Source organism: Homo sapiens, chromosome 19 (assembly GCF_000001405.40).
Source record: "Homo sapiens chromosome 19, GRCh38.p14 Primary Assembly".
NCBI classification, from domain to species: Eukaryota; Metazoa; Chordata; class Mammalia; order Primates; family Hominidae; genus Homo; species Homo sapiens.
This window is the reverse complement of record NC_000019.10, coordinates 44,530,800-44,558,072: the sequence shown is the minus strand read 5'-3', so window position 1 is coordinate 44,558,072 and position 27,273 is coordinate 44,530,800. Positions and strand designations below refer to the sequence as shown.

The window sequence follows — 27,273 nt, the reverse complement described above, 5'->3', positions numbered from 1 at the left end:
AATCACTCTGTGTCTACAAAGGCAAATTGACTGGATAAAATTCATTAAGGTGTAATGCCAAATAATTGCTTTATCATGATACAATACAATACTTATGTCTCACTTCCTTTTTTTTTTTTGAGATAGAGTCTTGCTCTGTCGCTCAGGCTGGAGTGCAGTGGCAGGATCTCTGCTCACTACAACCTCCGCCTCCCGGGTTCAAGCAATTTTCTTGCCTCAGCCTACTGAGTAGCTGGGATTACAGGCACACACCACCATGCCTGACTGATTTTTTTATTTTTAGTAGAGACGGGTTTCACTATATTGGCCAGGCTGGTCTCGAACTCCTGACCTTGTGATCTACCCACCTTACCCGCCTTGACCTCTCAAAGTGCTGGGATTACAGGCGTGAGCCACCGTGCCCAGCCTATTTTTTTTTTTTTGAGAGAGTCTCCCTCTGTTGCCTAGGCTGGAGTGCAGTGGTGCAATCTCAGCTCACTGCAACCTCTGCCTCCAGGCTCAAATGATTTTCATGCTTCAGCCTTCTGAGGAGGTGAAATTACAGGTATGCACCACCCCGCCCAGCTAATTTTGATATTTTTAGTAAGAGACGGGGTTTGGCCATGTCGGCCAGGCTGGTCTCGAACTCCTGGCCTCAAGCAATCCACCTGTCTTGCCGCCCAAAGTGATGGGATTACAGGTGTAAGCCACCATGCCTGGCCAGGTCTTACTTCTAAATTGGTTAAAATAACTCATTTATAGTATGTGAACATACTATAAATGGGAAAATCATGCTTCTGCATTTTTGGGTTTTATTGAACACTAAATTAGCTGCTTAGGAGTTGATCTTTGCCAACTCAATTATCATATTTTGTCCTGTCTTTTTTTTCCTATAATTTTTCTACTAAAATTATACCAGACTAATCATTCAATTATAATTTGGTGAGGGTTTACCTTGAGAAAATATATTTCGTGAGATTCTATTTTTTCTTTGATCTTACTTTGGTATGCCCTGACTGCTACAAAACAAGTAAGTGCTGTTGCTATACCGATAACAGAGATTTATTTGGTCCCTCAAGCTGATCAACTGAGGGATTTAGGTCTGTAACCATGTCTAGAAAAAATGCAAATGTGGGTATTTGATAATGTTTTCTTACTGTCAGTATGCATTTGGAAAGCATTCAGCATTACTTCTTGGAGTTAATTGTTTTATAGAGCTAATTATGAAGGTTTTAAGACCTCTTTGCGTAGATGTTGTTTTATTTTTTAGAATAAATTTATTCCTACACCTATTTTCCAGAAAGACACTGGTAGAATCATTCTAATAATAAGATGGAGTGGAATGAAGGGGACACTAATAGAAAATGAAAGGCCATGAAATGTAAATATACGTCTTCCTTTCAGTGGGTGTAATTTATTATTGACACACAGGACTTTTAGGACGACTGAATGATGAAAGAAGAGAAATTCTCGAAATGACTGAAAGAGAGTGGTGAGTACTTCCGCAACCCCTTCCATGAGTGTCTGTGCCTCTCTGATTTCTCTGAGTACAAGAGGATGCAAGCCCCAACTGAGGGCAGGCTGAAAATGTCAGAGAAATTAACATCCTGGGAGTGACCATTAACTAACACCAAGAAGGAATTGGTAGATATATTCCCCTGAACTTAGGGGGAACAACTCAGAGGTGGTTTTATTTTTTGTTGTTGTTGTTTTGTTTTGAGATGGAGTTTCGTTCTTGTTGCCCAAGTTGGAATGCAATGGCACGATCTTGGCTCACCGCAACCTCCGCCTCCCAGGTTCAAGTGATTCTCCCACCTCAGCCTCCTGAGTAGCTGGGATTACAGGCATGTGACAGCACGCCGGGCTAATTTTGTATTTTTAGTAGAGAGGGGGTTTCTCCATGTTGGTCAGGCTGGTCTCAAACTCCCGACCTCAGGTGATCTGCCTGCCTCAGCCTCCTAAAGTGCTGAGATTACAGGCGTGAGCCACTGCGCCCGGCCCTCAGAGGTGTGTTTTGTACCAGTTTTCAGAGGTGAGCTCCAGTTTTCTATAGAGCTAATTTTTCTATATGGCTTCCTTCTTTTCCCTTACTTACTTTCCCACACCTCTGCCAATGCTTTCTCCAAAATAAACTAATTGCACTAAGGTGTGGTGGCTCACGCCTGTAATCCCAGCACTTTGGGAGGCTGAGGCAGGTGGATCACGAGGTGAGTAGATCGAGACCATCCTGGCTAACATGGTGAAACCCTGTCTCTACTAAAAATACAAAAAATTAGCCTGGCGTGGTGGCAGGCGACAGTGCGAGACTCCATCTCCAAAAAAGTAAATAAATAAATAATAAACTAATTGCACTTACATTCTAGTGCAGAGTCTGATTCTGGGTGAACTAAGAGAGTGAATAACATTTACTATTTCAGTTTCTGTACCTCGATGTCCAAGTGTCCTCAACTGGGTTCTCTCACCAGGTCAAAATCAAGGTGTGATGTGAGTTGGCTGGGGTTTACCTGTAGGCTTTGGGAAAGAACCCATATCCAAGCTCATTCAGATGGTGGCAGAATCCTGGTTCTTTTTTTTTTTTTTTTTTTTTTTGAGATGGAGTCTCGCTCTGTCGCCCAGGCTGGAGTGCAGTGGGGCGATCTCGGCTCACTGCAAGCTCCGGCACCCACCAGCATGCCTGGCTAATTTTTTGTATTTTTAGTAGAGACGGGGTTTCACCATGTTAGCCAGGATGGTCTCGATCTACTGACCTCGTGATCCATCTGCCTCGGCCTCCCAAAGTGCTGGGATTACAGGAATGAGCCACTGTGCCTGGCCAGAATCCAGGTTCTTACAGTTGTAGGACTGAGGTCTGTTTCCTTGCTGGCTGTCATCTGCGGGTGCTCTAAGCTCTTGCAGGCCACTCTACCCTGCTCACACATTGACCCCTGCATCTTCAAAGACAGCAAGGATGCATTGAATCCTCCTTGTGTTTTGATTCTCTGACTTTCTCATCTGATCTGCTTTTAAAAGAGTCACCTGATCAGGTCAGGCCCACCCAGATGATCTGTATTTTAAGATCAGCTGACTTTGAGCTTTAATTACAAAATCCCTTCAAAGCAATACCTAGATTAGCATTTGATTGAACAATCAGGAACAGAAATCTGGAAGGACTATATTTAGAATCCTGATTACCACGCTGGCATTGGGGTTTACTCAGTTTCTTGATTCCATAGATGTATGTCTTTTACCAGATTTGGGAAACCAGCCATTATACCCACTTCCTCCTTTCCTTCTGGGTCTCCAATGACATGAATGTTGGCTCTTTTGTTAAAGTCCCACAGGTCCCAAAGTTCTGTTCTTCACTTCTTATCAGTCTATTTTCTTTCTGTTGTTCAGATTTGGTAACTTTTATCTGCACTGATTTTTATCTCTGTCATCTCCATTCTGCAGCTGGGCTCAAACATTAAGTTTTTAAAAAATTTCTGTTATTGTGCTTTTCCATTCTAAAATTTCCGTCTTGTTCTTTTTCATATCTTCTATTTCTTTGCTGAGACTTTCTGGTTTTTCACTTATTTCAAGTGTTTGTAATTGTTCATTGAAGCATTTTTATGTTGGCTGCTCTAAGATTCTTTTAAGACAATTCTAACATCAGTGTAGTGAATTCTTACAATTTTATAGAAACTCAGTATCAATTTTTGAAATGTTATTGTTTTGAGACAGGGTCGCACTCTGTCACCCAGGCTGGAGTGCAGTGGTGCAATCACGGCTCACTGCAGCCTCGAGCTCCTGGGCTCAAGTGAACCTCTCATCTCAGTCCCCCAAGTAGCTGGGACTATAGGCGTATGCCACCACACCCAGCTAATTTTTTGAAATTTTATTTGTAGAGACGGAGGTCTCACTGTGTTGCCCAGGCTGGTCTCAAACTCCTGAGCTCAAGCAATCCTCTTGCCTCAGCCTCCCAAAGTGTTGGGATTACAGATGTGAGCCACTGTGCCTGGCTCAGTATCTATTTTGAATATAAGTTGGACTTTCTCATACCATAAGAAAAGCTTAGTCACCCTTGACACAGTTTCCAGGTCTCCGCCTCCCCCCAGATCCTTAATGTGGCAGATCCAGATACCTGCCTTACACTACCACTTCCTGTTAACCACCTCCTTATGCAACAGCTAGATATAACTCACCTGACTGTCCCCCTGACCCCCAGACCCTGCATAGGCTGTGCAGATATGCCACAGTGATCACCTCCCAGTCAGTGTGACTCCATGCAACTTGTGCCTGCTGGCTCTAAACCCAGTTAGAATTCTCTGTGGAAAACTGCCTGAGCAGTTTCCTTAGACTCCAATAAAAGCATCAGCCCACAGGTCTCTCACTTTCTCTTTCTTGCTCCCCACCCGCTGGTTGAGTGTGCGTGTCCCGACAACTCTCTTCTTCCTGTTGGCTCTGTGAGATGTGCTGCTCTGTCTTCTCCGGAATCTGTGAGTAATAAACTGCCCCTGTTATTTCATGTGTTTTGTTGTGCTGCCTCCTCTGTGTCTCACCTGACTGACACATCCAAACCTAACGTCTTTCCTGGTCAGGGCTGTCCTAAAGCATGGCTCTCTTTGTAGAAATAAACTGGACACAGGTCAGACAAAAGCCTTAAGAATGTCTGCCATTATAAACAAGTGTACTGTGGCCAGGTGTGATGGCTCATGCCTGTGATCCCAGCACTATGGGAGGTTGGGGTGGGAGGATCCCATGAGGCTAGGAGTTCAAGATCAGCCTGGCCAACATGGTGAAACCCCGTCTGTACTTAAAAAAAAAAAAAAATTAGTTGGGTGTAGTGGCATATGTCTGTAATCCCACCTACTCAGGAGGCTGAGGCATGAGAATTGCTTGAACCTGGGAGGTGGAGGTTGCAGTGAGCCAAGACCATACCACTGCGCTCCGACCTGGGTGACAGAGTGAGACTCTGTCTCAAAAACAAACAAACACACAAAAAATAAGTGTACTGTGAGAGGGACACCTGGTCACAGGTCAGACATGTAGGCATTAGGCCGACCACCAAGATAAAGAAGTAACCAGTGAAAATTACACTTTAAACATCTACAACTAAATCCCCTAGAAAACTCAAGACCAAGTTAGAAAACATCAACAACAATCCATGTCATCTCTATTAATTGTCTTTCCTCATTTAATTTCAGGAATGTCTTTCTCATTCAGTCAATTTTTTTTTTTTTTTTGTAGAGATGGGGTCTCACTATGTTGCCCACGCTGGTCTCGAACTTCTGAGCTCAAGCAATTCTCCCACCTCGGCCTCCCAAAGTATTGGGATTACATGTAGGTGTATGACAAGTGATTTTCAACAACACCCTGGACATTTTGGAAATTATGAGACGCTGGATCTCATTTAAATCTTCTGTTATAGCAGGTCTCCTCTGACATCTTGCTGGTGGGGCAAAAAGGGCACCATCTTGTTATAGCCAGTGGGGATGGAGGTCCAGGTTCCCCATTTGGCCTCTGTTGACATTCCAGGTGGGGCGGGGCAACTGTTACTCTGGGCAGTTAGCAGAGTTCAGGCTTTCCACTGAGACATCCTCTGATACCATCTTGCCCAGAAGGGGCAGAGACGCCTCGTTACCGCTCCCTAGTGGCCTCAATGGACACTGCAGGGTCGGTGCTCATTACTGCTGGGCAAGGATGACAGTCCCAGCTGCTTATTCAGCCTGGTGGAGGGGATGGGTGTCTCTGTACAGCTGGCAAGGGTAAATGTCCAGGCTTTTCTGTGGGATATCACAGCAGCAAAGTGATTATCTTGTAAAGATTTGCTGTCTTTAGCAAATCTTGTCAGGCTACTGCTCCTTGTCCTTTGGCTAGAGCAGGCTTTGCTTGAGCCTCTTTTGGATCTACACTCATTGGCATTTCTAGATTGCCAGGCTCTCCAGCTCCCAGTCTGGGATCTGTGAGGCGCAAAGAAAGTCCAGAAAACTCACCACCATGTGCTTTCTCCGGTCTTGAGATCCGCAGCCAGTCTGCCATATTCTCTCCTCCTTTCCGAGTCATCTATTTTTATTTATTTATTTATTTATTTATTTATTTATTTATTTATTCATTCTTTAGCTGCACCTGTGATAGACTGCTTGATATTATTCCCATAGAACAATGATGTTCTGTTCATATTTTTGAGGCTTTTTCTCTATTGCTTTATTTTATTTTATTTATTTTTCCATAGATTATTGGGGTACAGGTCGGTTTGGTTACATGAGTAAGTTCTTTGGGGGTGATTTGTGAGATTTTGGTGCACCCATCACCTGAGCGGTATACACTCCACCCTATTTGTAGTCTTTCATCCCTCACTCCCCTCCCACTCTTCACCCCAAGTCCCCAAAGTCCATTGTATCATTCTTACGCTTTTGTGTCCTCATAGCTTAGCTCCCACATATCAGTGAGAACATATGATGTTTGGTTTTCCATTCCTGAGTTACTTCACTTAGAATAATAGTCTCCAGTCTCATCCAGGTCATTGCAAATGTTGTTAATTCATTCCTTTTTATGACCGAGTAGTATTCCATCATTCATATATATATATATATATATATATATATATATGAACATATATATGAACGTATATATGAACATATATATGAATGTATATATGAACGTATATATGAACGTATATATGAACGTATATATGAACGTATATATGAACGTGTATATATGAACGTATATATGAACGTATATATATGAACGTATATATATGAACGTATATATATGAACGTATATATATGAACGTATATATGAACGTATATATATGAACGTATATATGAACGCGTATATATGAACGTATATATGAACGCGTATATATGAACGCGTATATATGAACGCGTATATATGAACGCGTATATATGAACGTATATATGAACGCGTATATATGAACGCATATATATGAACGCATATATATGAACGCATATATGAACGTATATATAAACGCATATATGAACGTATATATATGAACGTATATATGAACGTATATATATGAACGCATATATGAACGTATATATATGAACGCATATATGAACGTATATATATGAACGCATATATGAACGCATATATGAACGTATATATATGAACGTATATATGAACGTATATATGAACGTATATATGAACATATATATATGAACGTATATATGAACATATATATATATATCACAGTTTCTTTATCCACTTGTTGATTGATGGGTATTTGGGTTGGTGCCACGATTTTGCAATTGTGAATTGTGCTGCTATAAACATGCGTGTGCGAGTATCTTTTTTGTGTAATGACTTCTTTTCCTCTGGGTAGATACCCAGTAGTGGGACTGCTGGATCAAATGGTAGTTCTACTTTTAGTTGTTTAAGGAATCTCCACACTGTTTTTCATAACGGCTGTACTAGTTTACATTCCCACCAGCAGTGTAGAAGTGATAATATCCAAGGTTTTTAACTGTGCTCGGGATGGAATAGGGAAAACTGTGCCTGCTTCATTTTCTGAGATTTTTTAAAAATAGATTTTTCTACATAGTATTTATTTCACAGTGGTTATGAAGTTTGGAGTCACATAGCCCTGAGTTTAAAAATGATTCACCCACTTACAACTTGGTTTTTCACAACTCACTTACCCAACATAAACCTCAGTTTACCTGTTGTAAAATGGGATATTAATAGTCCTTACAGCACAGGGTGGTACCAGTAGTACATGAGATAATGCTTGCAGTGCAAGCAATGGAAGCAATGCAAGCAAGCATCCAGCAGTTTTTTTTCCTTTCTTCCTTTTTTTTTTTTTCATTTTTTTGAGATGGAGTCTCACTCTGTTGTCCATGCTGGAGTGTCGTGGTATGATCTCGGCTCACTGCAACCCCCACCATCCAGGTTCAAGAGATCCTCCCACCTCAGCCTCCCAAGTAGCTGGAATTACAAGTGCGTGCCACCACACCTGGCTAATTTTTGTATTTTTTAGTAGAGACGGGGTTTCACCATGTTGGCCAAGCTGGTCTCAAACTCCTGACCTCAGGTGATCCACCTTCCTCAGCCTCCCAAAGAGCTGGGATTACAGGCCTGAGCCACCACACCCAGCCGGTGATGGATATATTAATTAGCTTGATTGTAGAGATCAACTATCAAAACATCAAGTTGTACACTTTGAACATACAACATTTTTATTTGCTTATTATACCTCAATAAAACTGTTTTTAAAAGTGTAATCATTGGGTCAAAAGTTATATAAACATGTGTAACTTTCAACTTGTATTTCTAAGTTGACTTCAAGAAAGATATTTACTTCCTGTCAGGCCAGCACTTTGGGAGGTCAAGACAGGAGGATCACTTGAGCCCAGGAGTTTGAGACCAGCCTGGGCAGCACAGCAAGACCCCACCCTACAAAAGTTTTTCAAAAGTAGCTGAGGATGGTGACATGCATGGATCTCAGCTACTCAGGAGGCTGAGGCGGGAGGATCGCTTGTGCCTGGGAGGTTGAGACTATGGTGAGCCGTGTTAGTGCCACTGCACTGAAGCCTGGGCAACAGAACAAGACCCTGTCTCAAAAAAGAAAGATATTTACTAATTTGTAATCTAGGTATAAGATTCCTCACTTGAAATCTAAAGTTGGTCTTTAGAGTGCCCCATAACCCCTTGAAATTATATACAAATGTGTAGGTATTTGTGTGGTGTGTGTGTTATTGGGTGTATTTCTGGGGAGAGGATCTGGGATCTCTAGACAGTTAAGAACTTCCGGAAGTAGAGCTGTTGGCTGTGTGTGTGTGTGTGTGTGTGTGTGTGTGTGTGCTTATTGGTCATCTTGGAAACAGCAAAGCCAACGCTGGTGTTTCCAAGGTCCCCAGCCTATTCGTGCTGCTGATCATTCCTAGGGTTCCAGATCCTCCCATGTCCTATAACGCCATTCTTTCTCTTTCCTTCTCCCCAGAGAAGCTGCACCAGCCCCCGGTGGAAGCCCAGAACTTGGCCCCTCTGGAGCACACAGACTCCTTGAATTTGACATGCATTTCTCCAAACAATGACAGGACATTCCAGTGGTTTCTGAACCTTGAGGTGATTCAGGAAGGGGATGGACCAGTAATCTCCAGAGATGGCAGGGTCCTCACCATCCCCACAGTCACACGCAATGACTCCAGCACCTACCACTGTGAGGCCAGGAACCACCTGGGATCCAGGCTCAGTGAAGCCCTCGTGGTTGGCGTGGCTTGTAAGTCTGGGTTTCTTTGCTCTGACTCACCTCTGATCCACACAGAACCTCCAGCCCAACTATCTACTGGTTCATCCATGATTTATAGCTTAGCGTTTAAATCAGAGACTCTACAGACTGCCTTGGTTCAAATCCTAGTGCTTCTGTTTCTTTTATTTATTTATTTATTGAGTCATGGTCTCACTCTGTTGTCCAGGCTGGAGTGCAGTGGCTGGATCATAGCTCACTGCAGCCTTGCCCTTCTGGGCTCAAGCAATCCTCCTGCCTCAGCCACCGGAGTAGCTGGGATCGCAGGCACATGCCTCTATGCCTGGCTAATTTTTACAAGTTTTGGTAGAGACAAAGTCTCACTATGTTGCCCAGCCTAGTCTTGAACTCCTAAGCTCAAGCAATCCTCCTGCCTCAGCCTCCCAAAGTGCTAGAATTACAGGCGTGAGCCTCTGCGCCCAGCCGTCCCTGCTATTTCTTAGCTAGGTGTCCTTGGGCAAGTCACTTCACTTTTCTATGTCCTCAGTTTTCTCATCTGCAAAGTGAGAATCATAATATTATCTATCTCATTGGGTGATTATGAGGATTAAGTGAGTTAGTTCATTTAAGGAACTTAGAATAGTGCCTGGAACATAGCAAGTGCTTCTTTTTTTCTCTTTTTTTCTTTATTCTTTTCCACTACTCTGCACACTAAGTGCTTAATAGACGTTTACAATGACTATTCTCTCAGAAGTTTATCATCATTTATTTATTTAAGGGGCATGTATTGAGCTTCTACTATGTACCCAATTAAGGACTTTCAGACCCATTCAATCTCAGGTACAAAGGTAGATGGAGATTGTAGGAAGCCAAGATCCCAGAAATTCCAGACTCGACAACATAAATATTTGCAGAACTGGAAGGACTTTCAGAGACACCACATTTTACAAACAAGAAAACTGAGATTAAGAAAGGGGAAGGGCTCACCCAAGATCTCACCGTGGTCAAGAAGAAAGATAAGAACTTGAACCCATGTGTTTTTCTCTCTCTGCCCCTCTGTCTCTCTACTTTTGGGAAAGCATCTACTGAGCATCCACTGTGTGCTGTGTGTATTGGGTGTTATTTCTAGTCAAAGCAGTTAACATAACTGACAAGCATATCCCTGTCCTCATGGAGCTGACAGTCTTCAAAGATCAAGGAGGGTAATAGACACAAGAGGGAGGCTACCGCCAGCCATGGTTCGTTTGTTCTTTCCCTCCTTCCTTCCTTCCTTCCTTCCTTCCTTCCTTCCTTCCTTCCTTCCTTCCTCCCTCCCTCCCTCCCTCCCTCCCTTCCTCCCCTCCCTCCCTTCCTTCCTCTGACAAACTTTTACGTTGTGGTGCTGTGTGCCTCCCTCAACATGTCAGGCTTCCAACACTGAGCTGAAATGCACAATCTAGGGGGGTGGTCCTTACTTCTCATACTCTTCCTAATTAGGAAGTCTTTCTCCTTGTTCAGATGGCCCGGATACCCCCATCATGACCGCACTGGACCCAGATTTTGTGATTGGTTCCAACCTCACTCTGGTCTGCTTAGCCTACTCCCACCTCCTTGCCCAGTACACATGGAGCTTCAGTGGGGTCACCACATGGGAGGGCCAGACCCTCTTCATGCCCAGTCTCTCCAGGGCACACTCAGGGGTCTACACCTGCAAGGCCTCCAACTCCCTTTCCGGCTTGCACAGCAGTATGGACACCATCATCACTGTCTCAGGTATGAAGCCAGGGTTGAGGGTGATTGGTTAATGGTGAAATCTTCAAAATCAAAGAAAAAAAAAAGAAAAAGAAAAAAATAAGAGAAAAATTCTTCTCTGCCCCAGGACTTCATTGGCGAATTTGGGTTTGGTTTTGTTTTTTAGAATTCTTTTCTTTGCTGTTTCACTTCTTTATATATTCAGCAAGATTTTTCTAACCTGTGTTATGCAGAATAAATTTTTACATTCTTTAACCAACAAAATGACTTTTCATTGATAGGATTGCTTTAAAAATATTATATGCCACCCGATTCCTCAGGGATCTAGAACTAGAAATACCATTTGACCCAGCCATCCCATTACTGGGTATATACCCAAATGAGTATAAATCATGCTGCTATAAAGACACATGCACACGTATGTTTATTGCGGCACTATTCACAATAGCAAAGACTTGGAACCAACCCAAATGTCCAACAATGATAGACTGGATTAAGAAAATGTGGCACATATACACCATGGAATACTATGCAGCCATAAAAAATGATGAGTTCATATCCTTTGTAGGGACATGGATGAAATTGGAAACCATCATTCTCAGTAAACTATCGCAAGAACAAAAAACCAAACACCGCATATTCTCACTCATAGGTGGGAATTGAACAATGAGATCACATGGACCCAGGAAGGGGAATATCACACTCTGGGGACTGTGGTGGGGTCGGGGGAGGGGGGAGGGATAGCATTGGGAGATATACCTAATGCTAGATGACACATTAGTGGGTGCAGTGCACCAGCATGGCACATGTATACATATGTAACTAACCTGCACAATGTGCACATGTACCCTAAAACTTAGAGTATAATAAAAAAAAAAAAAAAAAAAAAAAAAAAAAAAAAAAGAATTCAAAATACAAGGAAACTTAAAAAAAAAAAAAAAAAAAAAAAAAAAAAAAATATTATATGCCACCTTTTTCACATTTTAAATAAATTTCACAATAATTGTAGAAAAAGTAAATCATATAGATGGGCAAGAAGGCAAAAAATGTTTTCCACAATAAGCCTCCCAGAAAAAGCCACAGGGCTTCTATAATTCCTCTGTTTTTGTATATACATTCAAATATATGTGTGTGGTCTTCTTTTTTTTTTTTTTTTTTGAGACAGGGTCTCACTCTGTCTGCCAGGCTGGAGTGCAGTGGTTTGATCTTTGCTCACTGTAGCCTCAACCTCCTGGGATCAATTGATCCTCCCACCTCAGCCTCCCAAGTAGCTGGCACTACAGGCACATGCCACCACGCTGGGCTAATTTTTGTCCTTTTTGTAGAGACAGGGTCTTGCTGTGCTGCCCAGTCTGGTCTCAAACTCTTGGGCTTAAGTGATCCGTCCACCTTGGCCTCCAAAAGTGCTAGGATTACAGGTGTGAGCCATTGTGGCCGGCCAAATATATGTATTTTTAAACAACAAATAGTATTAGACTATACTTATTATTGTTTAAACTGTTTTTAAATTTCATCTTTTAATCTTTAATGTCTTTCTGTTAATTAATATAGAGCCACATTACATCCTACATTCTGATTATTTCTTTATTGAATACATACTGTATATCCAGTGTAAGAGAAATTACCAATACAAATATTTTTAAAAAGGAAAAGGGTAAAAACTCTACATTCTCAGAAATGACCACTGCTAATATTTTGTTATACCCTCTTACAGGTTCATTCCCAGTACCTATTTCTTTTTTTTTTTCTTCTCTCTCTCTTTTTTTTTTTTTTTTTTTTTTTTTTAAGACAAAGTCTCACTCCGTCACCCAGGCTGGAGTGCAATGGCATGATCTTGGCTCACTGCAACCTCTGCCTCCTGGGTTCAAGTGATTCTTCTGCCTCAGCCGCCTGGGATAACAGGCGTGCACCAGCACATCTGGCTAATTTTTGTGTTTTTAGTAGAGACGGGGTTTTGCCATGTTGGCCAGGCTGGTCTCGAACTCCTGACCTCAGGTGATCCGCCTGCCTTGGCTTCCCAAAGTGCTGGGATTACAGGTACGAGCCACAGTGCCTGGCCTCCAGTATCTATTTCTTATAAATTACTGCATATGTATTTTCCTTTATAAAGAAGAGTTGTGCTATCTTGCTCCAAATTTTTAAAAATATTGGTATAAAAGTTATTTAGGGATGAAAATTTTTGCTTTCAATGGTTACCCTTCTGAGATCCTTTTCTTATTTGTATGGTGTGATTATGACTTAGGAGAATAAAAGGATGTTATAGCACAGTGCATCTCAACATCCAGGTGATTCGTAGGAGCTACAGAGGGTACAACTCAGCTGTGTGGGAGATCACCCTGGGTGTAATGCAGGTCAGCGAGAAAGGAAAGAGGCAGGCAGATGGGCAGCATGAATCCCATTTGCCCCCATGGATCAATGTCCTCATCTTGGGTTAGTCATGGATCATCCCTGAGCCTCAGGTTCTTCATTTTGCAAATGGGGATTTACAGGGTTGTTGTGAAGTCTAATGAATCACACACATAAAACATCTACGACAAATTAAGTACTCAATTGATGAAGGTTCTTTTTATTGTTTGCTCAGTTTTATCACCTGTGAAATGGGTTAAAATCCACCCTTCTCTTGAAATATAAGCATGAGGATATAAGATTGTGTCTGTAAAGCATTTAGCACAAAGCCTGGGGCATATTTGGTGCTCCAGAAGTGTTAATTTATTAAGTAAACAGACAGAAGGGAAGATCAATGGATGGATTGGTGGATGAATGAATAGGTGATTGGGTGATGAATGAATAGGTGATTGGGTAAATGAAGGGATAGGTGGATGAGCGAATTTAGGTGGGTGGTAAGTGATTGGAAAAGATGATTGGGTGGACAAATGGGTGAAAAAAATGGTGAATGATTGAGAAGATGGGTGCATGTATGCATCCCTGGGTGGGTAGGTAGATGGGAAGGTAGATTTATGGATAGGATGGATGGATGGATGGATGGATGGATGGATGGATGACGGATGGATAGATGGGTGGATTGAGGGACAAATTGGTGGATGGATAAATAGAAGGGTGACTGGAAGAGTGAACAATTGGGTGAATGAATGTAGGAAAGGCTGAGTTGGTGGAGAGTAGATGGACTTATGGACAGGTGCATGGATGGATGATTGGCAAGTGTGCTGAATTCCTTCAGCCCTAAGGGTGTTCCCTAAGGGTGTTCTTCTCTAAGCCCATGATCTGGGCAGGACTCAGCATTTCTACCTCTTTCTAATTTTCCTGCAGAGACACTTCCTCAGCCCAATGTCACAGCCAGTAACTTAGCCCCAGTGGAGCATGTGGATTCCATCAGTCTGCATTGCCTTCCTCCAAGGAGCACTGTGGCCATCCGCCGGGATGTCAATGGCCAGAAGCTCTTCATTGGTGGCCACAGGGAGCTGTCCCTGGACTGCAGAACACTGACTCTGTCGAACATCACCAGGAATGACACGGGGGTCTACCAGTGTGAGAGCTGGAACTCAGCCACCAGCAGCATCAGCAACCCCACTCTCATCAAAGTTACATGTGAGTCCAGGACCTGATAAAGGATGGGTGGAGATGTGCATAGGAGTGTGGTTGAGGGGTGAAGGAGCGGCTGAAGTTTAGCTGGTTCTGTTGGCAAAGCTGGAAGTGTCTGTCCTGGACAAAGTGAGAGAGGGCACCAAGGGGAGATTTTGTGGAAGGGAGACTGCAAATGCCAAGCCTGGGGTGGGAGTGTGGTTTTGAGAGAGGAGGTCATAGTGGCTGAAGTAAAGGGAAGAAGGAGAGTGAGGAAGAAGAGGACTGTCTTGCCCCAAGAGAGGTAATGGGACAGACTGTGCAGGGCCTGTGGGCCATGATGAGGGCTTTGGCTTTTACCCTGCATGAGACAGCAGCCAAAGAAGGGTTTGTGCAGAGAAGGGACATGATGTGACGCAGGTTTGAACAAGCTTTGAAAAGGATACCTCTAGCTGCACAGTAGAAGTAGAGAATATGGTATGGGGAGGTGGTGGTGGTGGTAGGGGACAAGAAAGCAACTAGAAGGGAGATGGCCAACAGTGTCAAATGCAGTTGTGCACTGGAGGGGGATGGAAGAGTGTCATCTGAGACAATGGCCAATGCATTGTAATATGGACAAAGGCCTTTCCTCTTCCCTCTGGCCTGGTCTTCTCAATTCTCTGCAGATGGCCCAGACCCTCCTATGGTCAACCCTCCAGACCCAGAGGTCACAGCTGGGGCAGCCCTCACCCTGTCCTGCTTTGCTGACTCAAACCCCCCTGCCCAGTACCACTGGGAGATGGACAGAAGGCCAGGCCCTGCCACCCAGCACCTGGTCATTTCTGAGGTCACTCTGGACCAGTAGGGCAGGTACACCTGTGAGGCCTCCAACAGCATCACTCACCTCTGCAGCTCAGTCAATGGGAAGATCTGGATCTCAGGTGGGTGTTGAGATGCCGTGGTGATAATGGCTCAGAGTCTCTTGCCTGATATAAGTGGGTTCTGGGGCTTGGGTCAATCATATAGTACCTCAACAAAGCTGCATAAAATGCCCCCCCTGCCAAGACCCAGTGGCTCAAGACAATAAGAATTTGTTACAGCTTGTAAGTCTGCAGGTCAGTTGGGTGGTCCTTCTGAACTTGGCTGTATGTTTTTTAATAGAGACGGGGTTTTGTCATATTGGTCAGGCTGGTCTTGAACTCCTGACCTCAGGTGATCCACTGGCCTTGGCCACCCAAAGTGCTGGGATTACAGGTGTGAGCCACCATGCCAGGCCCTAATTATTATTAGGGCCTAATTATTTATCATCAATCTCTCCATCCAGGTGGCCAGATCTGTGACGGTTGAGACCTTGTCTGTTGTGTTGACTGCTGTATCATCAGTGCCTAGAACAGCTTGCTGAATGAATAAATGAATGAATGAATGAATGCTGGCCACTTTGCTCAGGAGACTAACCCCTCTACCAGCTGATCTTGGACTTGTCTTTTGGATCTCAGCTTAAATGTCACTTCCTCCAGGATGCGTTCCCTGATTTCCCCAGACTAAGTCTGGTCCTCCTGTGAGATCCTCGAATAGCATCTTATTCTACTCCTTTATAATGCTTGTCATCACTTTATATATTTGCTCCATTGTGTGTGTGTGTGTGTGTGTGTGTGTGTGTGTGTGTGTGTGTGTTGACAGAGTCTCACTCTGTCGCCCAGGGTGGAGTGCGGTGGCACAATCTTGACCCACTGCAACCTCCGCCTCCTGGGTTCAAATGATTCTCTTGCCTCAGTCTCTTGAGTAGCTGGGACTACAGGCACGTGCCACCATGCCCGGCTAATTTTTTGTATTTTTAGTAAAGACAGGGTTTCACTGTGTTAGCCAGGATGGTCTCGATCTCCTGACCTCGTGATCCGCCTGCCTCGGACTCCCAAAGTGTTGGGATTACAGGCGTGAACCACCACACCTGGCCCTCATTGTGTGTTTTATGTCTCAGTTCCCTCCTAAAGTGTAAGCTCTAGGACATCAGGAATTTTGTCTGTTCTGTTTTCTGCAATATCCCTCGAGTGCCTAAAAAGGTGTCTGGCACACACAGTATGTGCTAAATAAATGTTCGTTGAATGAGGAATGGATGAATGTGATCCTCAGAGGCCACATAGTGCAGAGGTTCAGAGTGTAAGCTCTGGCATCAACATGTTTCAAATTCTAACTCTACCCCATGTGTGATGGTGGATGGGTAGTTTAACTTCTCAGTGCCTGTTTCTTTAATGGGGATATTAACAATGCCTTCCTCATAGGGTTGTCTTGAGGAATAAATGAGATAATATAGTTTACCAGACATTATTCCTGTCATCTGTGAGTGTTATATTTATTATCTGGTACAGACGCTTCCTTTCCCTGGGCCTCAGTTTCCCAATCTGTAAAATGGGGGGAGAGGAGGGTTCGAATTGAGCACATGGAGGGAACAGCTCTGAGGACCTGAAACCCAGAGCCCCAGCACTGACACCTCTCTCTTCCTCTCCCTCCCTCTCTCTCTTTCTATCTCTCTCTTTCTCCTTCTCTCTCTCTTTCCTGCAGAGGTTCCTGGGGATGAACTGCAGCCGGCCTTACTCAGGACCACTATTCCTGCTGGAGGCATCGCAGGGATTGCCTCGAGTGTCCTGATCAGCGTGGTGCTCACAGGGACTGCTGGCTACTGTGTTGGGGTCATAAGGTCCCAGGTACCAGCTCTGGGCCCCTCAGAGGTCACGGAGCCAGGACTGAGTGGGGATCCCAGAGGGGGCTACTTATCTGGGAGCTGCAAACTTCACTGGCAGGGACCAGGGGCACTGAGGACCAGTGGGTGGGCCTGCAGGGGAAGAACCTGCTCAGGAACTGGCAGTCAGCACTGGCGCTGGGGCACCACCCATTTGTCCTGAGTTCGATCCTGGGCTCTTGAGTCAGATGGAAGTGAATTCAAACCCCTCTGTCACCAGCTCCTCGCAGTGGCAACCTTGGAAGGGTGTCCTAACCACTATTGCCTTAGTTTCCTCACCTGTGAAATGGGGATAAAGGTAGCCATTACCTTATAGTTGTGGAGACAATTCACCGGCATCATCAGGACTTAGCTAATGTCTGTATATGTAAATGGTAACTAAATTTGTCTATTAATAATATTGTTAAAATAACCATTATTAGTTACAACTAACATTTATATAGTGTCCGCTAAACCCTAGGTATAATATCATATTATAATTATGGCATGGCTAATCATAAATATCACTACCTAGGTTGGGCACAGAGGCTTACTACTGTAATCCCAGCATTTTGGGAAGCTGAGGCAAGTGGATCACTTGAGCTCACGAGTTCGAGACCAGCCTGGGCAACATGGTGAAACTGTCTCTACCAAAAATACAAAAAATTAGTTGGATGTGGTGGCACATGCCTGTGGTCCCAGCTACTCAAGAGGCTGAGATGGGCGAATCGCTTGGGCCCAGGAGTTTGAGGCTGCTGTGAGCCATGATCATGCCACAGTATTCCAGCCTGGGCAACAGAGTGAGACCCTGTCTCAAAAAAAAAAAAAAAAAAAAATGTAAAGCTATCTCTTGCTGGTTTACAATTCCCTTGAGGTGTTCTGGAGGTTTCTGGGCGTGGGACCCTGGGTCTGCTGCAGTCATGTTTCTGCTGGCTGGTGGCATTCTGTGACTTGTGTCCGGGTCACCTTCTGCTTCTCTTCACATTGCCTTCTCCTCTGTGGGTGTCCAATCTCCCTCTACTCTTTAATGAGGAAACTCATGATGACATTTACTGTCCACTCGCATCATCTAGATGACCTCCTCATCTCATGATCCTTAATTGTATCTGCAAAAACCTTGTTTCCTTATGACGTAACATTTACAGGTTGCAAGGGTTAGGACCTGGTATCTTTGAGCGTCCACTCTCCATCCTACTACCAGTTGTGCAAAGACAAATGACTGCAGCCCCATTTCCTGTGGGCTTGCTGTATTTCACCCTCTGCTGAGCCACTGCATTCAGCGTCTCCTCATTTCATCGAGGAGGGAGGAGCTAGGGTTACACCTATTATGCAGAAGAAGAAACTGGGGCTTAAAGAGGCTCTGTCTCATGCTCGAGGTCACATAGACGGTGAGCAGAGGAGCTGGGGGAGCTTTGAACCCATTTCTCTCTCACTGTAGAGTCTGGGTCCTTAACCACTGTGCTACCTGAAGCCTGGAGCAGAATAGGGGTGGGATGGGACCAAGATCGCTCGTGGTGTGTCATCCCTGTGCACATCTGGGCAGAGAGCATTAGCTCAGTTTCCTGGGATGGACGCCAATATTATTCACCATGATAACACGAGGTTTGCTCTACCTTCAGGGTTCTCTGGGACCTCGGGCTCGCCTAGGAAGCAGAGATCTCAACTTTTTGCCCCCTTTCCCTCCTTCAGAAGGTGGGATGAAGACAGCCTGCTATTGGCTTAGCTGCAGAGGAAGACACCTTTTCCACTCGCCTCTTGGGACTTAACTCTTCTTTCCTTCTCTCCAGCCCAGGAATCCTGTGGAGTTCAGCTCAGCAAGGTAAGGATGAAATACTTACCTCCAGATGCTTCAGAAGCTTCAGATGCCAGACTGAAGAATTAGATGTTCACCCTGTGGACAGTAAGGGATCATGGGAGGGGATTTACCAGGAAAGAATGGCAGCATCCCAGACTTCTTGTAGGGTCAGCTGAGGGTCTTTGAGCCTCTCTGTTTAGAGGGGAGAGAGAGAGACTCTAATTCAGAGCTGGGATTTGGAAAGGTGGCCAGAATTGTGGTGGGCATGTTGGAGGGGTTAAGTATACTGACAGGGAGGCTGGGGGTCAGGGTTGGGGAACTCAGAGCAGTTTTACAGGCGAGAGAAGATGGAGGTATTGCCTAGGGTAAGGTCATGCGGATGGAGAAAAGGGGGCAGAAAAGAAGGTTAATGAGTTTCAAAGATGGAACCCTTAGGAGTTGGTGATTGATTGGATGTTGGAGGTGATTTAGGGAAAGGAGGGTATCGAGAAAGATGCCCAAATATTTTGTTTCAGAGAAAAAAGAGGAATTGAGCAGAGAGTAAGGGCAGCTGACCCTGAGTTGGGAATCAAGTATTCCTTCCACAGCTGGGGGAGGCAGAGGCGTTTCTGGCTATGGAGGCCAGAACAGAAAGTCCCTTTCTTGGGTAGGGTTGAGCAAGGTTTCATATTTTCCAGAGGCATGGAGATGTCAACTGCATTGTGACCAGTCTTCAACACCCTGACCAGAGATTTCAACTCCTCCCAAGGCCAAAAAGAGACACTGAGCCAGCTATTTTAACAGATTTGAGGTGATCTTCATTGAAAGGTAGAAGGTTGTAATCACTCCCCAATCTCTTTCCTTTTTTAAAACAAAAATGCTTTAGACAGGGGATTGCATGATGATTAGGACTTACCTTGTAGCTTCACAGACCACCTCCACACGTTTACTCCACCAGTTAAGAAGTGTTGTCTGTGCGCGGTGGCTCACGCCTGTAATCCCAGCACTTTGGGAGGCTGAGGCGGGCAGATCACCTGAGGTTGGGAGTTTGAGGCCAGCCTGATCAACATGGAGAAATCCCGTCTCTACTAAAAATACAAAATTAGCTGGGTGTGGTGGCACATGCCTGTAATCCCAGCTACTCGGGAGGCTGAGGCAGGGGAATTGCTTGAACCCCGGAGGTGGAGGTTGCGGTGAGCCAAGATGGCACCACTGCACTCTGGCCTGGGCAGCAAGAGCGAAACTCTGTCTCAAAAAATTTAAAAAAAAAAAGAAGTGTTATGATGTAGAATACCCTTTCTTATGTTGCATTCCTTCTTTGCATATTATGTGTAACTCTCTAAGGGCTGTGGCTCAAGTAGCTCAGTCAGCTTTTGCATTCAAAAATTCACAGTTCAGACTAGGCACGGTTGCTCACACCTATAATCCCAGTGCTTTGGGAGGCTGAGATGGGAGGATTGCTTGAGGCCACAAGTTCGAGACCAGCATGGGCAACATAGAGAGACTCCCCTCTGAAACGCTACAAAAAAAATTAGCTGGGTGCCGTGGCATGTGTCTGTAATCCCAGCTACTTGGGAGGCTGAGGAGTCTGTACAGAGTCCTTGGCAGCATTAGCTAATATCCTCATGTCATCAGTTGATCTCTAACATCCTTCAGCTCCTGGGAGCCTCTCACTTTCCTACCACAGAACTCTGTCTGACCCTCATCCATGCTTCTTTGTCCCCACCATCTCCCTTAAATGGAATTTTCATGGCTGGCTTGATAATGCAAGATTGGACACTCTTTTCTTCCTAGTAGTGAGACAAGAGCTAAGCACCTTACAAAATTGTTAATGCACGATCTTGAGGTGAACTTAAAAGTATCCTGCAGGTGGCTGGGCACGGTGGCTCACGCCTATAATCCCAGCACTTTGGGAGGCCAAGGTGGGTGGATCACCTGAGGTCAGGAGTTCGAGACCAGCCTGGCCAACATGGTGAAACCCCATCTCTACTAAAAATACAAAACATTAGTCGGGTGTGGTCGTGGGTGCCTGTAATTCCAGCTACTGAGGAGGCTGAGGCAGGAGAATTACTCGAACCTGGGAGGTGGAGGTTGCAGTGACTTGAGATCGTGCCACTGCACTCCAGCCTGGGTAACAGAGTGAAACTCCGTCTCAAAAAAAAAAAAAGAAAAAAAAGTATCCTGCAGGTTACTTGGAAGATCCAAAGTATTTTACTCTCTAATTGGTGGTGTCCCAAGTTCTAGAAGAAGAAGTCATAGCTCTGACTGGGTAGAGTGGGATGTGGATGCTTATGATGACAGAGTGGGTAGAAGTGGGAGAGTGTTAGTGAAATTGTTATATTGGTGAGGGGAGGATATCTCAGCTGGAGAAGCTTCTGGGAAAGTTTACTCCTTTGAACCATGACTCAGAAAACATATGTCCCTTTCTATGTCAGTGGGCATCATGAGTTTAATAAAATAGCATCTGTGAGCTAATCTTTTGTCTGTTTTCTGTGCCATTCTAGGAATTTAAGGAGTCATGGAAACAAGTATGGTGTAGAGGCTGCAGGGGGCAGGATAATGATGGTGATGATGAGGATGACGATGACGACAACGATGATGATGATGTGTTGTGTGTGCATGTGTGTGTGTGTGTGTGTAGGGGTTCTTGGGTATGAGATGTTGGGATTCTATTACCTGGATCTGCATTATTTATTTTCCCATTTATACTGATCTTGCTTCTTGTACACAGGAAAAGCACAAAAAGTCAACGGTACAAAACTGAGTTTCCCAGATGTTCCAAGAAGACTCAGTTCTATGACCCTGGAGAAAAACTTCACTGTACCCTCTGGGCCCTAGTTTCCCCATATGGGATAAAAGGGAGCTTAGACTGGAATCTCTGTTTAAACAGAAGAGTAATTTTGAGTAGGCTCTTTCTCAAAGTCGATTTTACAAGTTTTAGCACACTTTAAGAAAAAGAACACTACTACAAACTCTATGTTTCTGAAAGATCAGGGTTTTGATGCAAGGTCTTCCAATAAACACTTCCAATGGTGATCTGGAAAGGAGCCAGGTAGAATGCATTCAGCTGCAAACAAAAGACAACCTGGATCACAGCGGCAAAAATCATAATTGTCATTTTGCAAGATGCCCTAGGTTTATTCTATGGCTCAGTGATATCCTCTCATCCATCCCTCCACCCTCAGTGCATTGCATATCCTGCTGAACTTGCTACTTCATGGTCTCAGAATGGCTGCCTGAACTCTAGACATTCCTGCTTTCACATCATGTCATTATGGTAGGCAGAATAGTGACCCCCCACCAAAGGTGCCCACATCCTAGTTCCTGGAACCTGTGATATATATTCACCATGAAATACTACTCAGCCATAAAAAATGAACAAACCTGTGAATATGTTACATTACAAAAGCAAAATGACTTTGCAGATGTAATTAAGGTTACTGATGTGGTTAGGTTTTGTGGTCCCCACCCAAATCTCATCTGAATTCCCGTGTATTGTGGGAGGGACCTGGTGGGAGGTAATTGAATCAGGGGGGCAGGTCTTTCCTGTGCTGTTCTCCTGAGAGTGAATAAGTCTCATGAGATCTGATGGTTTTATAAGGGGGAGTTTCCCTGTACAAGCTCTCTCTTTGCCTGCTGCCACCCATGTAAGATGTGACTTGCTCCTCCTTGCCTTCTGCCATGATTGTGAGGCCTCCCCCGTCATGTGGAACTGTAAGTCCATTAAATCTCTTTCTTTTGTAAGCTGCTCAGTTTATCAGCAGTGTGAAAACGGACTAATACAGTTACAAACTTCAAAATAAGGAGATTATCCTGGATTATCAAGGTGGGTCCAACCTAATCACCCAAGCCCTTCAAAGCAGATAACTTTCCCCAGCTGGAAGCAGAAGAGAGACACGGCAGACAGAGGGCCTGGTGCAGTGGCTCATGCCTGTAATCCCAGTGCTTTTGGAGGCCAAGGCAGGAGGATTTCTTCAGCCCAGGAGTTCAAGGCTGCAGTGAGCTATGATTGCACCACTGCTTGGGCGACAGAGGGAGACCCTGTCTCTAAAAAGAAAAAAAAAATTGTGAAGAGATGCAGCAGACAGGGAATCCAGAGAGATCCCAAGCCCGAGAAGGATTTGTTGTGGCGTTGCTGGCTCTGAGATGTACAGGCTCAAAGGCAAGGACAGGAGAGAGGCCTCCAGAGCTAAGGGCAGCCCTCAGCTGGCAACCATCGCAGAAACAGGTTTCCAGCTTTATAATACCAAGGAGTTTGATTCTGCCAACCACAGCCTGAATGACAGCTTGGAAGCAGATTCTTCCCAAAGCTCCCCCATTAAGAGCTCAGCTGCCAACACCTTTATTTTAGCTCCATAAAGCCCAGAGCAGAGAAGTCATTTAGCCATCCTGGACTTCTATCTACAGAACTGCAAAAGGATAAACTTATGTTGTTTTAAGCTGCCAAGTCTGGAGGCATTTATTGTGGCAGCAGATAGAAAACTCAGTTATTTAAATGCAGGAGGCAGGGAATGGCTCCTTGGGACTCTGCCTGCATTTTTTTTTTTCAGAAGTGAATTAATTCTTAGAAACCTCCAAATGTATGTACATTTTGCCCTCTCACCTCCTTCAAGTCGTTGCTTAAAACTCCATGGGGCTACCCAGACTGCCTGCTTTAGCATTGAATCCTGCGTGCCCACTCTGGCACTCTGACGCTGCCTGCCCTCATCCCCCATGGCACACATCACTTTCCAACATCATAGATAGTTTAGTAATTTTCCACTTATTTATTCATTTATTTATATTAGAGACAAAATCCCAGCTACTCTGTCACCCAGGCTGGAGTGCAGTGGCATGATTATAGCTCACTGCAGCCTCAAACTCCTGGGCTCAAGTGATCCTCCTGCCTCATCCTCCCTAGTAGCTGGGAGTACAGGCACACATCACCATACCCAGCTAACTTTTTGATCTTGTGTTGAAATGGGTTCTCCTTATGTTGCCCAGGCTGGTCTTGAACTCCTGGGTTCAAGCAATTCTCCCACCTCAACCTCCCAAAGTGCTGGGATTACAGTCATGAGCCACTGTGCCTGGCCACATTTCCTAATTATTATTTTTTTATTTTTAATGTTTCTGCATTCTTAAATTTTTTAAAAGCATTTATTTATTTACTTTGAGGTGAGATCCTGCTATGTTGCCCAGGCTGGTCTTAAACTCCAGGCAGTGATCCTCCTGCCTCAGCCTTCTGAGTAGCTGGGAGTACAGGCACACACCACCATACCCAGCTAACTTTGATCTTATGTAGAGATGGGGATCTCCCTATGTTGTCCAGGCTGGTCTTGAACTCCTGGGCTCAAGTGATTCTTCCACCTCAGCTTCCCAAAGTGCTGGGATTACAGGCATGAGCCACTGTGGCTGGCTACGTTTTCTAATTTTTTTAAAAAAAAATTAATTTTAATATTTTCATGTTTTTAAATGTTTAAAAAAGCACATTTATTTATTTACTTTGAGATGGGATCTTGCTACATTGCCCAGGCTGGTCTTAAACTCCTGGGTTCAAGTGATCCTCCTGCCTCAGCCTCCCGAAATGTCGAGATTACAGGCATGAGCCACTGTGCCCAGCCAGTTATTTTCCACGTATCTCAATTATTATCTGTCTCCCTCCTCCCCTCCCAGCACTCATTACATGTCATTTCTATAAAGGCAGAGATCTCTGTTTGTTTCATTTGCTGGCGTGCCCTGATACCTGAAACAGTGCCTGGCACATAGTAGGGCCATACAAATCTTTGCTGAGTGAATGGCCTCAGTGAGGGCACAGTCATAGGGCAGCATCCTGGGCTGGGAGGTCAGTCCCGTGGGAAGACACAATTTTGAGCCAGCCTGCATGGCTGAGACCTGGTAGGTAAGGGTGGGAAGTGGAGAGGACCTGGTTTATTTTCACCTGTTGGAAATAATTGGAAGTTGTGCTACAGGGAGGGGCCCAGAAAGTCCCTTTCTTTCCTTGGGGCAGCAAAAAACAGAATCTGCCCTGGGGGCTGAGTGGGTGAGTTGGTGGGAATTTCAGGAGAGGAAACCCTGCTTTTGCATGAAGGGGCAGATTTGGGAAGTCCATTCCAGCAGCAGCTCTGTTGTCTTGGATGGGGAGGAGGGGAAGAGGGGAGAGTGCCTCAGGGCAGAGGTGGTGGGGAGGGAAGCTGGCTTAGGAGAAGGTGGGTGGTCAGAAGGTTCAGACATTCTGGGAAGAACGAGGTGGGTGGCAGAGGCCTTGAATGCTGGGCTGGTCTGGGTCAGGCGCCTTCAGTACAGGGACCCATAGAGTCTGAAGGCGTGGCGGGGTGATGTGGCCACATTGGTGTTCATTGATCTGGGTGTACAGAAAGGTGTGGCTGGGGAATAGCGAAGGGCCCTTGGAAAAAGGCACACGCACATGGAGGTTGAGGGCCAGGGCCTGAGATGTCCTGTGACTTTATCCAAGTCATCTCACCTCTGTGAGCTTCAGTGTTTTTAACTATGGGATGGAATAATCATATTCCTTACCCCACTCTTTTTTTTTTCTCCTTCCTTTCTTCCTTCCTTCCTTCCCTCCCTCCCTCCTTTCTTTCTTTTCTTTCTTTCTTTCTTTCTTTCTTTCTTTCTTTCTTTCTTTCTTTCTTTCTTTCTTTCTTTCTTTTCTTTCTTTCTTCCTTTCTTTCCTTTCTTTCCTTTCTTTCCTTTCTTTCTCTTTCTTTCTTTCTTTTTCTTTTTTTTTTTTCAGAGTCTTGCTCCATCACCCAGGCTGGAGTGCAGCGGTGCGATCATGGCTCACTGCAGCCTCGAACTCCCAGACCCAAGCAATCCTCCCTCTTCAGCCTCCTGAGTAGCTGCAACCACAGATACGCACCACTATGCCTATTTTTTTTTATTTTAATTTTTTTGTAGAGAGGGGTGCCCAGGCTGGTCTCAAACTCCTGGGCTCAAGCAATCATCCCACCTTGGCCTCCCAAAGTGTTGGATTTATGGGCATGAGCCACTGCACCTGGCCTCGTCTGATGGTCTCATTACCTGCTATGTCCCCAGCACCTAGAACAGGCACAGTAGACACTCACGAAATATATGTTGAGTGGCTCTCGGTCAGTTCGGGCTGCTAGAACAGACCACAGAATGGGTGATTTGTAAAGAACAGAAAGCTATTTCATGCAGTTCTGGAGGCTGGAAGGCCTATATGAGGGTGGTAGCTTTGTCAGGTTCTGGTGGGGGCTCTCTTCTTGGGTGACAGACTGCTGTCTTCTTGTTGCATTCCCCACGTGGTGGAAAGTGAACAAGAGAGCTCTCTGAGGTCCCTTTTATAAGAGCACTAATCCCATTGGGAGGGACCTGATTACCTCCCAAAGTTTCTGCCTCCTAAAACCATCACGTGCAGGATCAGGATTTCTTCAACATCTGAATGACAGAGAGACAAACATTCAGTCCACAGCAGTAACAGAGTGAATGAATGCGTACCCCCTCACAGGGCTGCAGTGAGATTATGATGCAGGGCAGTCATGACATCCAGTGGGAATTCACATTTGTTGATGGCTTACGCTGTGCCAGGCATTGCTCTGAGCACTTTCCTGGCACTCACTCATTCGATCCTCACAACCGTCTTGTGCGGGGAGTCTGTGATTTCTCCCAGTCTGCAGATGGAGCACACGGAAGCATGCAAGGGTGACAAATTTTTCCCAATGAACCATGGCTGGGATGTAAAGGACTGTCTTGCCAGCCCAGGCAGCCAGCTAGCCTAGTGCTTGTAAATGGTGCCACAAGCAAGGGTGACAGATGGCCTGGCACACTGAGGTCAAGTGCTCATAACCACAGAGCTTCCTAGGAGACAAAAGCATCATCATCTACTCTGCTTTATTTTATTTTAATTGAGATGGGGTCTCACTATGTTGCCCAGGCTGGTCTTGAACTCCTGGGCTCAAGTGATCCTCCCACCTTAGCCTCCCAAAGTGCTGGGATTACAGATGTGAGCCAGTGTGCCTGGGCATCATCTCCATTTTAGAGCTGAGGAAAGTAGTCCCTAGAGAGGGGAGCTGACCTGCTGAGGCCACCCAGTTAGCAAGTCGGGGAGTCAGGATTTGAACCCATGCACTCTGGCTCCAGAGCCAGCTGGCTCGGCCTTATGCTTTATCAGGGCAGATACTTTGTGACTGCCTGTAGCAGGAGCAAGACGGAAGCAGGGCAGCAAAACGAGGCAGCTGAGTGAGTCACGATCTCTTTCTTGCAATGCCAAGCTGCCCCTCATACCCTAAGTAACAGTTCCAGAGTTTTCTAAGCCGCCTGTTGAATCATCCATCCTCTCTCACTTCCTCTATTCTAGACCCACCTGACCTTCCTTCTGTGCCCCAATTTCAAAAACTTTTCACATGCTGCTCCCCCTGGCTCACCCCTATGTTGTTCAGGTCTCAGCTACCATGT

General features: G+C 45.0%; 1 pseudogene across 1 annotated transcript; it reads left to right on the top strand.

The window, feature by feature from the left end:
• Positions 1–1,155: 1,155 nt before the first annotated feature.
• On the top strand, positions 1,156–21,015 carry CEACAM22P (CEA cell adhesion molecule 22, pseudogene; annotated as a pseudogene). Its single transcript, NR_027754.2, has 8 exons — positions 1,156–1,471; positions 8,994–9,175; positions 10,640–10,894; positions 14,141–14,419; positions 15,058–15,312; positions 16,931–17,073; positions 18,777–18,906; positions 19,560–21,015. The product of NR_027754.2 is annotated as a CEA cell adhesion molecule 22, pseudogene (transcript).
• Positions 21,016–27,273: the final 6,258 nt, after the last annotated feature.